This window comes from Homo sapiens, chromosome 1 (genome assembly GCF_000001405.40).
Source record: "Homo sapiens chromosome 1, GRCh38.p14 Primary Assembly".
NCBI lineage: Eukaryota > Metazoa > Chordata > Mammalia > Primates > Hominidae > Homo > Homo sapiens.
Window position 1 is genome coordinate 235,741,723 of NC_000001.11, and position 12,262 is coordinate 235,753,984.

At 33.9% G+C, this 12,262-nt stretch overlaps 1 protein-coding gene across 15 annotated transcripts in view, besides 1 other annotated feature; it reads right to left on the reverse strand.

Moving 5' to 3' along the window:
- The window catches only part of LYST (lysosomal trafficking regulator), a 222,683-nt gene that overhangs the window by 80,692 nt on the left and 129,729 nt on the right, over positions 1-12,262 (reverse strand). For 8 of the 15 annotated variants that reach the window (XM_011544032.2, XM_011544031.2, XM_011544033.3 and 5 more), the window contains 6 exons: positions 11,322-11,552; positions 10,283-10,449; positions 9,488-9,640; positions 5,448-5,609; positions 4,614-4,805; positions 2,257-2,435 (listed from right to left, as the gene is read on the reverse strand). In XM_011544032.2, the coding sequence (XP_011542334.1) occupies positions 2,257-2,435; positions 4,614-4,805; positions 5,448-5,609; positions 9,488-9,640; positions 10,283-10,449; positions 11,322-11,552 (1,084 nt within the window). Of the gene's footprint in view, positions 1-2,256; positions 2,436-4,613; positions 4,806-5,447; positions 5,610-9,487; positions 9,657-10,282; positions 10,450-11,321; positions 11,553-12,262 lie in introns of those variants that run through there. The other 7 variants (NM_001301365.1, XM_047443034.1, NM_000081.4 and 4 more) reach the window with 2 other exon arrangements.
- Positions 8,253-8,453: a silencer, noted in NCBI's record as "peak779 fragment used in MPRA reporter construct". NCBI's record gives its function as "represses an SCP1 promoter by STARR-seq MPRAs in K562 erythroleukemia cells {active_cell/tissue: K562}" and the evidence as "EXISTENCE:reporter gene assay evidence [ECO:0000049][PMID:32103011]".

A 12,262-nucleotide genomic window follows, 5' to 3' on the forward strand; every position in this document is an offset into this window, starting at 1 on the left:
GTTTTATTCCAGATTGGTTTTAATAGTCAAAATTAGAAAGAGATATACATATCCATACACATAGGAGTTTAAAAGAGATGGGCATACAACATTCATAGCAGCATCACTCAAAATAGCCAAAAGGTGGAAACAGTCTGAACGTCCATCAGTGGATGAACAGATAAACAAAATGTGGTATATACATACAATGGAATATTATTCATCCTTAAAGAGGAAGGAAATTCTGACACATGCTACAACATGGATGACCCTTGAGGACATTATGCTAAATAAAATAAGCCATATATAAAAGGACAAATATTGTATGCTTCTATTTGTATGAGATATCTAGAACAGTCAAACTCACAGAGACAGAAAGTAGAATAGTGATTACTGGGTAATGGGGGAAGGGGTGGTAAAAGTTATTATTTATTGGGCACGGAGTTTCATTTGGGATAATTAAAAAGTTCCGGCCGGGTGTGGTGGCTCACACGTGTAATTCCAGCACTTTGGGAGGCCGAGGCAGGTGGATCACCTGAGGTCAGGAGTTCAAGACCAACCTGGACAACATGGTGAAACGCTGTCTCTACTAAAAATACGAAAATTGGCTGGGTGTGGTGGTGGGTGCCTGTAATCCCAGCTACTTGGGAAGGTGAGGTAGGAGAATCGCTTGAACCTGGGAGGTGGAGGCTGCAGTGAGTTGAGACTGGGCCACTGCACTCCAGCTGGGGAGACAGACTGAGACTCCATCTCAGAAAAAAAAAAAAAGTTCCTAGAGATGGATGGTGGCAATGGTTGCACAACAATGTGAATATACTTAGTGCCACTGAATGTATCCTTAAAAATGGTTAAAATGGTAAATTTTATGTTATATATATATATATATATCTTACCACAGTTTAAAAGAAGACATGGACAACGAAGCTAAAGTCCTAAGCCATGAAAAAATTACCAAAGGCTCAAAAATTATAAATTAAAAAAAAGCATCAAAGAACAATGATAAATAAGCCTACACTGATTTTGCAATAAAAAAGAGAAAGGATTCATAATAAAGACTTGAATTGTGCTACATTATTGAGTATAATAGTCACAAATTAAGCACTGCATATAGCAGTACCCCCTTACCTGTGGTTTTGCTTTCCACAGTCAACCATGGTCTGAAAATAGTTAAGTACCGTATAATAAGGTATTTACTCATTGTAAAAAGGGAGAGACTACATTTACGTAACTTTTATTAAAGTATATTGTTATAACTCTTGTTTTACTATTATTGTTAATCTCTTACTATGCTTAATTCATAAATTAGACTTTATCATAGGTATGTATGTATGTGAAAAAAAATAGTATATACAGGTTTCAGTACCATCTGTGGTTTCAGGCATTCACCAGGGGTCCTGGAATGTATCCTCTGAAGATAAGGGGAAACTACTCTATGGGTTTACCATAGAGTATTCCCTAACAATTAACCAATTGTTTTAACTATGGTCCCACTAAGCCTAGCCAAATGCTGATCAAATCACCTGTATCTGGTTCAAAACTGGAAGCAGTACATTCAGAATTCATTCTGAGTTTTAAAAACAGCTCCTCTCTAATTACATCTAGTCCTAAGGGCCCTGTTTGAGTGACTGAGTTCTAAGTGAATCTGTACTTGGTTTTGCTGTTCAGAGCTAAAACACCAAAATCTAGTTTAGATTTAGAGATTGACATGTCATGATTTACGAGTTCTGCTAGAATTAGATTGGCTTTTGCTATCTATAGAGTAAACTGACCGATTTGTTCCGTTGTGTCAACTGTAAGTGACCCGCAGAAACCCAAGTGAGATGATGATAAATGAACCCTGACACTTATCAGTATTCTCTACATAATTTTAAAGGTGTTAAACTTAGGCCAAGATCTAAAATTCATAATAATTAGAAAAATGAGAGTAAGTAGCCATAAATACAGTCCTTTAAAAAGAAATAGTTCATGTAAACTCCCATAGTAGTCATCAATGATGATGATCTACTCTTTTCTGATGCTGATCTTACTAAACAACACTAGAAAATGTCTTCTAGGGTTACAGGCTTAAAAAGCAATGCTTCATGAGTTGAGTCATTTTGGAAAGGTGAATTAGCAATATATATTATTCTATAATTAAAAATTCAAGTTGTCCGAGTTTTAAAAAGCTCTCTGAAAGAGCACAAAGAAATATGATTTTGAAAACGTATAATACAGTCAACATAAAACCTCTATTTCCTTTGTGTGAATGAACATTTCCCATGTAATTAATTTACTTACAATAGATACTTTGAATCCTTCTACCAGATATGTAAAAATTTCTTTCTGAAATGGATTGAAAACAGAAGACTGTTCATGATGAATATTTTCCTCAGAAATTTCGGTCTGGAAAACTGAGGTCTTGCTTTGAGTTACATTTTCTGGAGTTCTCAAAATGTCAATAATGTCTGAATTAAATTCTTTGAATTGAAAAAAAGAATACAAAATTAGTCATATCACTGCTATCTTGCCATTATAAATAGTAATAATACTGGTAAAAAATATTGTATTTAATTACTAATTCAGTTATCACAATTTAAATGTGTATCAGGTGTATTAGATGTAATAGATACAATGTAGTAGAAAGTGAATTTACGTAAAATAACAGAAATTTGAAAATGCATGTCATACAATTCCAAATTAAATATTTAATGGACTAATGAAGGTAAGTTAAACTGCAAAATGACTAAAACCATAAGATTATTATACAAATCAAACATAAAGATCATGTCATATTTACATGAGTGGATCTACAGAGCTGTTTCTCTGCATGTGCTATACATTTACGTGCTGTATATGTGATAATCATGGTTCAATTTCAGAGTTTAGTCTGGGAGTCTGTTGCACAGAATGTATATTAGAAAAGTGGAAAAAAAAAAATGCTGGGGACGATGGCTCATGCCTGTAATCCCAGCACTGTGGGAGGTGAAAGCACACAGATCACCTGAGTCAAGGAGTTTGAGATCAGCCTGGGCAACATGGTGGAACCCCATCTCTACAAAAAAATACAAAAATTAGCCGGGCATGGGGTGCACACCTGTAGTCACAGCTACTCAGGAGGCTGAGATGGGAGGATTGCTTGAGCCCAGGAGGTAAAGGTTGCAGTGAGCTGAGATCATACCACTAGCCTTGGTGACAGAGTGAGAACCCATCTCAAAAAAAAAAAGAAAAAAAAAAAGAGAGAAAGAAAAGTAAAAAAAGCTAAAAAAATAATAATAACTTGAGTTTATCATGTTTTTCTAGTCATTAACAATTACTGTTTTCTTTTTCCTGTCTTCCTCGGGTTACCTGAACATTTTTTTAGAATTCCATTTTGACTTATCTATAGTGTTTTTTAAAAAACAATCTTCAGCTTTATTGGAATATAATTGACAAATAGAAATTGTATATAATTAAGGTGTTTTGATATATGAATACATTGTCAAATAATCACCATAATCAAGCTAGTTAACATATCTATCACCTCACATAGTTACCACTTTTTTTTATGTGTGATGAGAACATGATTTATAGTGCTTTGGAGTGTATTTCTTTGAATAGCTTTTTTTAGTGGGTGCTCTAAGTATTACATTTTAAGTTTGTACATATATATTCATTAGCCAATATGGAAATGCAAATTAAAACCACAATGAGATATCACTACACATCTGTCAGAATGGCTAAAATAAAAAATAGTGACAACAACAAACACTAGGTAAGGATGTAAAAAAACTTGGACCACTCATACACTGTTGATGGAAATGTAAAACTACAGCCACTCTGGAAAAGTTTGGCAGTTTCTTAAAAAACTACACATGTAATTACCGTATGACCCAGTAACTGCACTCCTGGGCACTTACCCCAGAAAAATAAAGACTTATATTCTTACAAAACCTGCACATAAATGCTTACAGAAGCTTTATTTGTAATAGCCAAAAACTGGAAACAACCCAGATTCATACATCCATACCACAAATATCACTCAGCAAGAAAAAAAGGAACTATTGATATATGCAACAACCAGAATGACTCTCCAGAGTATTACACTGAGTGAAAAAACTAATTCCAAAAGGCTACATACTGTACGCTTCCATTTATATAACATTCTTGATGAAACAAAAATATACAAATGGAGGACAGATTAGCAGTTACAGGGCTGAGTGGCTGGGGGTGAGAGGAAAGTGGGTGTGGCTAAGAGAAGGGCAATATGAGAGATCCTTGTGGTGCTGGAAATGCTGCTGACTGTATCGATGTTACTCACCTGGTGATGATATTATACTACAGTTCTGCAAGATTCATGGGGGAAACTGGGTAAAGGGTACACAGGGTCTCTCTCTGTATTATTCCTTAACTGCATGTGAATCTACAACGATCTCAAAAGATCATACTGGAAGTGCCATATGGTTTTAAACTGGTCAGTCTGGGCTAGCATCGAACACATTCAAAGTGGACTTTTATTCAAGACTTATCAGTTCCAAATAAGAAACTCTTAATACTATGGATGTTAAGAACTGAAAAATAATGCTGCTTAAACATCTGAAAACCAACCAGTTTCCTCTTAGATTACTTCTCTTTCATTTTAAAATCTGAGGAAAAACAAACTAATCCTATAGTCTTACCTTGATAAATAATCCTGTTGACTGCTAAAACAGTGAGCCTCTGTAGTCTCTGCGCAAGTTCCGTTTCAGTTGCTTGGCTAGGGTTCTCTTGGCTCATTCTCCGTTGCATCATCACATGAAGCTCATCATTTGCCACTGAACGCATTTTCATCAGAAGCGATTCAGTTTGAGCAAGGGGAAATTTTCGAGGACCTTTAAAAGTATATAAATTAAAACATCAAATCCCAGTGTTAATAAGGATCAAGGAAACTATTTTTGCTGAAATTTTTTGATTACCAGACCATGAAAACAACCTTATTTACTACAAAGTCAATTTATAGAAAGGAAAGAGTGATTAAGAGAAAATGATGCTTCTCCCTCTTTGAAGAAGTGCAACAGTACTTTTGGTTTCAAAGTCCTAAATAACAATGTTGAAGCTAGTGACACAGCTTAGTAAAACAGATGTCATTTGGCAAAGTTCGAGTTAAAAAGTATTAAATGGGCTCAAATAGTTCAGAACATTTTGATAAAATAGTTTCAAATACTGTTTCACTTCTTTGTATTCCAAAATCAAGTTTTAATGCACATAATTTTTTAGTAAGAATACTACTATTTCTGGGTAATTACTGTTGTTGAATTTCATAAAGTAGTTTTAAAAACTGTGTATAGTGACAAAGTAGAAATCAGTCAATGAAAGTGAAGAGATCAGGAAGGTGAATATAATTCCAGTGATTTGTTATTAAAATGATTTAAAACATATGCATCATTTGGAATTCAATGCTACAAAAGCATTTCCTGAGAAAGGTTTCCTCAGACTGAACAGAGAGGAGTGGCATTCCTGCACCATTACTGCACCTGCTCCAGGAGGTACAACACAGGTAGTGCATCCAGGAGAAAACTGGGGGGATGAGTCTTGATTTAATGGACCGAAGGAGAAGGGCATCGGAAGTTGACCATAGGAACCAAAATGATGTCTTGGTAGATGAGGAATAATGGAACCCTTCATTGGAATTGAACCTTTGTTTTAAATTATGAAAACATATATCAATTTCTATAAATAACCTCTACAAAAATTACTTACATATGACTAAATTATAACAGGTTTTAAAGACTTATCCTGTAAGATATTTAAATATTTTAATGCTATTTTAGATTGCTCAGTATTTTGGGTAATTAGTATTCTTAATCAGTTAATGTATTTTGATAGTCACTTTTGAGGCAAAAAAAAAAGAAAATACAAAAATTCATATCCTGTATATATTCAAGAGTTTTACTGTCAAACAATATACTTAGTTTAAGCAGATTCTTCCTAATGTCTACATCTGACAGCTTTCATGCTGTACGTGCAGCTGATGATTGTAATTCAGCGGTATGATAATACACTGAATAAGGAAATGTTAAGTAAGTCTTCTTTAGTACTAGGTATTAATACTAGAAAACGTGGGAGGGTATTTCAGCACTCCTGCTATGAAGCCACACAGAGCTAGTGTGGCCTTAAGCACATTTCTTTCTAAACCTCAGTTTTCTCATGCATAAGATGTGGATTAGAAAGAAAACAGAGCTTACTTCACCGGTAGATATTTATCACTATCTAACATTATATTAAATATATTTGTTTATATGCTTATTGATCATTTTCCCCAGTACAAGTTCCATGAAGACTGATAAAATAGCAACTGGTACATGGTTGGTACTCAAGAAATATTTGATGTTTGAGGGCTGAATAAACGGATAAAGAAAGAGTTGTTTTGTTGATAAAATAAAATAATGAATATAAAACATAATGCCTGTCTCATTCTCACAAATAATAAAATACTTTTAATGGTTAGTATTATTATTGGCTGAAATATAAAGTTCATTTGTATGTGAATTACTAATTTAACTGTGTGTATGTGCGAGTGCATGGCAATTTAAATATATGTCTAGCATTCTAAATAATATCCTAATGCTGACTACTTCTACCTTCATGCATTAAGGGTGATGTGTAAAGTTTTTCATACTAATAAGCAGACAAGTAAAAAAATACATTTAAAAGTATATATTGCTACCTTATTTATAATAGCAAAAACCAAGCAAAAAAACCTTTGTTTATCTATAAAAGTTACAGAAGATTATCCACATCAAAATAATAGATTATTTTGTAATCATTAAAAATAAAAGAATATTTATGTTTCTTAATATGGAAAAATATCTATAATGACCAGAAATAGAAATCAATTTATAAACAGTAGGTAGAGCATGATACCATTTAGGTAAAATTACATATAAAGATATGTATAGATATAGATATCCAGACCAAAAACAGATATAGAGGTTAAGGAGTCAGAGCTTTGTTCACTGGGCAGCAGGCAACTTGGAACTGCTGAGCAGAAGAATGGTAAACCTGAATGAGGTTGTAAGATTAATCTGACAATAAAATGGTATCTAACTCCTCTAGCAATGCAAGAACTTAAGGTCTAGATGTAATGACGGTACTGCTGAAGAAACTTTGGTTCCAAGTCATGGATATCCTGGGGTTCAGGGCTTGAGTAAATTTGTCTATTATCAGAGTCTGGTGTGTGGCCATAATGCAAGCTGCAGCTGCTGGCAGTCCCCACAACTCCTGCTGAAGGTGAAGGGTAGTGGCAGTGGGGCTGGAGGTGTCACTCATCTCAGTAGTTTTCAACAAATGCTAAATGAATCTATTTAGGAATCCCCCCTACCACACCTAAACATTTATCAGTAAAGAGAACGGCTTGAGTCTTTGAAGGAACAATTCATTACCTAATTGATAGACATGACAGAAATAGAAATCCCTCTATGTCCCTTTAGTATCATGGACAAATGGACTTGAATTAGTTTTTGTAACCACACTGCTCAGAAACAGAAGAGCTTCAGTATTCTGCAGTTTTTGTACCTGTAGCATACAAAGCCAATATACTTTTGAAGATACTTTTAAGTAATAGTGGAGAAATAAAAAGCACAATCTTCTCCAAGTATATGTGTAAAAAAACAACTTAGAAACAATTAGAAAGCAACAACCGAACACATATAAAGTGGTATTTTGCAAACTAGATTCACAAAGACAGAATTTCAATAAGGGTAGTACTTAAAACAGGAAGGATTCTTGAGAGAGACTTCAGAGAGAGAGAGAGATGGGTCCTAAGAGATACCATAGACCTGGGATGAGTAGATGTGGTGCAGGACACAAAGGGGTGAGTATAGGGGTGCATGTGCCAGCAGTCCCCAGTTCTAGGATGCAGTGGGTCTTAAGATGAGGAAGCTGGACTGGATGACTTTTAAGGTCTTTTATTAAGCTAAAAACTTGTAGGATTCTGTAAGTCTCCTATAGCTTGCAGCAATCACATTTACTTAGAGTGAAAAAGACAAGTCCAAGTATAATAAGCAGCTACAGAAGTCAGAAAAAAGGACAGCCATCTAGTGAAAAGACTAAAAGTTCATTATCTGTTTTAAAATGACTCAAACTAAAAAAAAATAATAAACTTGAAGTTACGTAGGGCTCTAAGGCTCAAGGTGACAAAATGCTAGTATCTAAAGAGAGAGACTAAAGACTGCTAGAGAAATCATTGACCAAATGGGAAATAGCAAGAGGACTATTGTGTTAGCCCAGGCACAAGGTGATAATTAACTAAAACCAGAGATCTAGAGATGGAAGCAGAGGAGGAACAGATGTGAGAATGAGAAGTATCAATACAAAAGAAACAGCAGGGGTAGTAAAGGTATACTTTCTGATATCAAGAGAGGGCAAATTCCATCTAAGCAGTCACTGACTACATAAGGAGTCCTGCAAAGGAAAGGTGTCCAGCAATCATGTTTTGGCATGCAGGAAGCTGAGCACTAATGCTAGAACTGATAAAGAATCTGTTTCTACTCAGGACAAAAGAGATGTACAACTGGGAGGGCAGCTCAAGAAGAGACAGTGCATTCAGATATTAAATAAGGAAGAATGTAGAGGGCAGTAAGTTTAGTTACATAGATGTTTTAGAAGTTTTATTTATATAAGTTTGATTTAGCATAATTTAAACATACTACTGCAAAACAATGGGTACTTGGTAGCTTTTCTTTACAAGTGAGTTTTTCACATGGTTTAAAATTTTTGCATAGCATTGAACACAGAAGTAGCTTAACACGGGTGAAAGAAAGATTTGAACTTAAGTGAATTTAAGACAGTAAGAGTGATTAAATTTCAAACAATTTACCAAATACTCTGGAGATGGTGTGTGTGTGTGCATGTGTACATGCATATTTATCCACTATGTATATATATGTATGTGTGTATATCCTGTGTATGTGGTGTTCATGTTATCTTTCTGGGTAAAGATGATAGCAGATTTTGTAGAAAAAATAAGGAAGACTAACAATATTAATGTTTATTATTTGATGACATTCTTCCTTATTTAATATCTGAATGCACTGTTTCTTCTTTAGCTGCCCTCCCAGTTGTACATCTCTTTTGTCCTGAGTAGAAACAGATTCTTTATCAGTTCTAGCATTAATGCTCAGCTTCCTGCATGCCACAACATGATTGCTGGACACCTTTCTCAGAGACTTCCCTAACTCCTGATGTAGATTGCCCTGTTATAATCTCTATTCCTACCCTCTACATTTCCCTACTATTTTACAATCTCTGCAGGGGCAGAATCTGTGTCTGTTTTTTTCATCATTGTATCTCCAATATTTAGCACAATGCTCAGCACATGGTAGGCAGGTGCTCAAGAAATAACTGAATGAGAAAAGCACTAAAAGTAAGGAGCAGAATAGTTTCCTTCAGGAAAAAATCTTTCTTAAATTTTATGTAAAACAAGAAATATTTTAAAAGTGTGAATGGCATAAGAACATAGGAAAGTCAAGCTAGCCTCAATTTATGGTTATTAAAATATGATTTCAATACTCGCCAGCAATGCTTTTCCGCTTTTGAACTACTGCATGATGGGGAGCAGAAGGTGACTGGAGTGAATCTGTGAGGTTTTCAGAGTCATGATTTGCGGTGGTCCTTATAAATTCCATAGCAGCCTGGAGAACTCTAAGCTGTAGTGCAACAGCCATATCTAAAAACAGAAGATACTAGAATGTTTTCAAGCTATGTGGTTACTAATTTTTTAATTGAACTGATTTTATGTATCATGACAATAATGTTTTGATATAAATTTTTAAATTTTGATCAGCATGGGGATGATGGTAGTAGACATTTTTAAATTCTTGTTAAAAGCAATTTTAAAGCAAATTTACAAATGGTCACTAAAAAACCTTCAATGGAAAAATATTAGCTCATAAATTTATTTCATTTTAAAAATTGTTTCAAAGAACAGGCTTTTTTTCTATATAAGGCAAAAGTTTAACCGGCAATTATCATATTTTTTGTTTCATATTCACTTTAATAATTACCATTAAAGAAAACTAAAGGGTATTACTATGCAACATACACTTTTAAATTCTACTTGGTAAGAAAAATCAGTGACATCTTTCACTTATGTATTGCCAACTACTAACTACATGGGGGAATCACTTTTTCTATTTTTGCCACTTTTTCAAGCCTTTTTAGGCTTCTTTTTAAAAACTGATAGATACTATTACAAAATTAATGTTAAACTTTTAGTAAAAGAGTTTCTAAGAAGAAAGAGATTGTGCTCAAATAACAGGTTTGTCTGTTATACAACTCCCTCCCCAAATTCATAAAAATTAAATCTTACTTTGTGTCCTCTTGTTTTTGCTATTTTGAAGATATCCAAGCATTACAATAAGGTCTTCAATAACCCTAAAATATTGTGAGCCTGAGGAACTGCAAGCATGAATTGTAACTGCTATGAAAAGTTGCTGTATATCACAAGCAAGCAATTTATATTCACTCATGGGAATGCTAAAGATAACAACAAAAGAAGAAAACAGAACATTTATAAGAAAAAGAACAAATAATTTAAGACACAGCTAACTGATTTAAATGGTTTAAATTCCTGTTCGACCAGCTTGCACTCATTCATGCAGTCATTCAGTATTTATTCATGCTTATTCTATGGCAAGTAATATGTAGTATGTATGCTAGAAATAGAAATAAGATACACTTTGACACCTGTCAGAAATACATAGTTTTACAGAGAACTGGACAAGTAAACAGATTACTATAAATAGTAAATGGTTGTAAGTGTAACACTAGAGATTAATACACGATACTATAAGAACACATAGGCAGTTTCTAGTCCACACTAAGGATGAAGATTGTGTGGGTATGAACAGGAACATTCTGCGAAGACTTTTCAGAGAAGGTGAATTTGACTAAATTAATTAACCTCTCTGAATCTCACTTGTATAAATTAGGGTTATTTTTAGGACTAAAAGAGGTAATAGATTTGCATTTATATTATTTATAAATATCCAATAAATATGAATTAGTTACTTCTGGTCTTCAATCTTAATCTTGATAATCTACCTCAATGTACGATATTAGGCCTACAATGCTTCTCTCCATCTGGGTTTTCCAAATCAAGAAAGGGTTAGAAACTAACTTGGGCCAGTTAATAAAGTAGCATACAGGGACATTCAGTAAATACAATTTCTTGCTTTTTTTTTCTTTCTTTCTGTTATTATTATTTTTTTACTTTTATTTTAGGTTCAGAGGTACACAGAAAGGCTTCTTACATAGGTAAACTCATGTAGTAAAGTAAACTAATACTAAAGTTTTCCTGTTCTAAAGTATTTATCAGATGTAATTTTAAATAATAATTTTAAACTTACTTCTTTTCTAATCCATTCAGGGCTGCTACTGTATTACATAACACATAGAGTAGACCATTATCCAGCAACATATCTGCTACCTTAGAACAAGAATTTAAAATTTGGAGAAGAAGTAAAAGAGCATTATGCAAGAGTATGTTGTCATATAGAGAGGTCTCTATTAGTCCCAGAATAGGAATGACAGACCACTTCTGAAACAATCCCATGTTTCTCACATCTTCCAGATCAAATCTATAATAAATAATACAGTTAAGAGCACATTAGAAACAATCACAAAATAAGAAAATATGATAGCAACTATGGGTCATCTTGCTAACTTGATTTTGAAGTCATAAAAACAAGTTGGGGGAGTAAGGATTCTTAACCTGTTTTTAAAATGACAGAGTCCCTCCAATAATAGGGTAAAAGCTGTTGCTAGAAGTCCATCCCAAGATAAATACACAAACATTCAAGTGAAATATGCATACAATTTCTTGGTTTTAACTGATTTATTTTAATTCATCCATGAGCCCTTTATGTCCAAAGAAACTATGTTTGGGGGCTTCAAGTGCACAGGAAAATTATTATTATTATTTTACATAGTATTTGAGAGACAGTGAGCTAGTAAAAAGAGGTCTAGCAAAAGGGAATGATTCTCGAGTTCTTATCCCAATACAACTTGCCTCTGGGATGGAATGAAATTAGCTAAGTATTTTGTGCCTCATTTTCCTTATCTGTCAAAAATATGTGGTGATATATGTCCTCTTTTCTTCTCAAGGCTATTGTGAGAATCAAATAAAGTAATGCACAATTGTTTCGTGAAAGCCAAAAGTTGTATGTAAATGAAAAGTAGCATTGAAACTACCATAACAATTTAGTAAATTCTTTAAGGTCTGAATTTGTCTATCACAATAAGGAGACACACGTTTCTCTCTATTCTATCATAAACAGAAATTACAGCT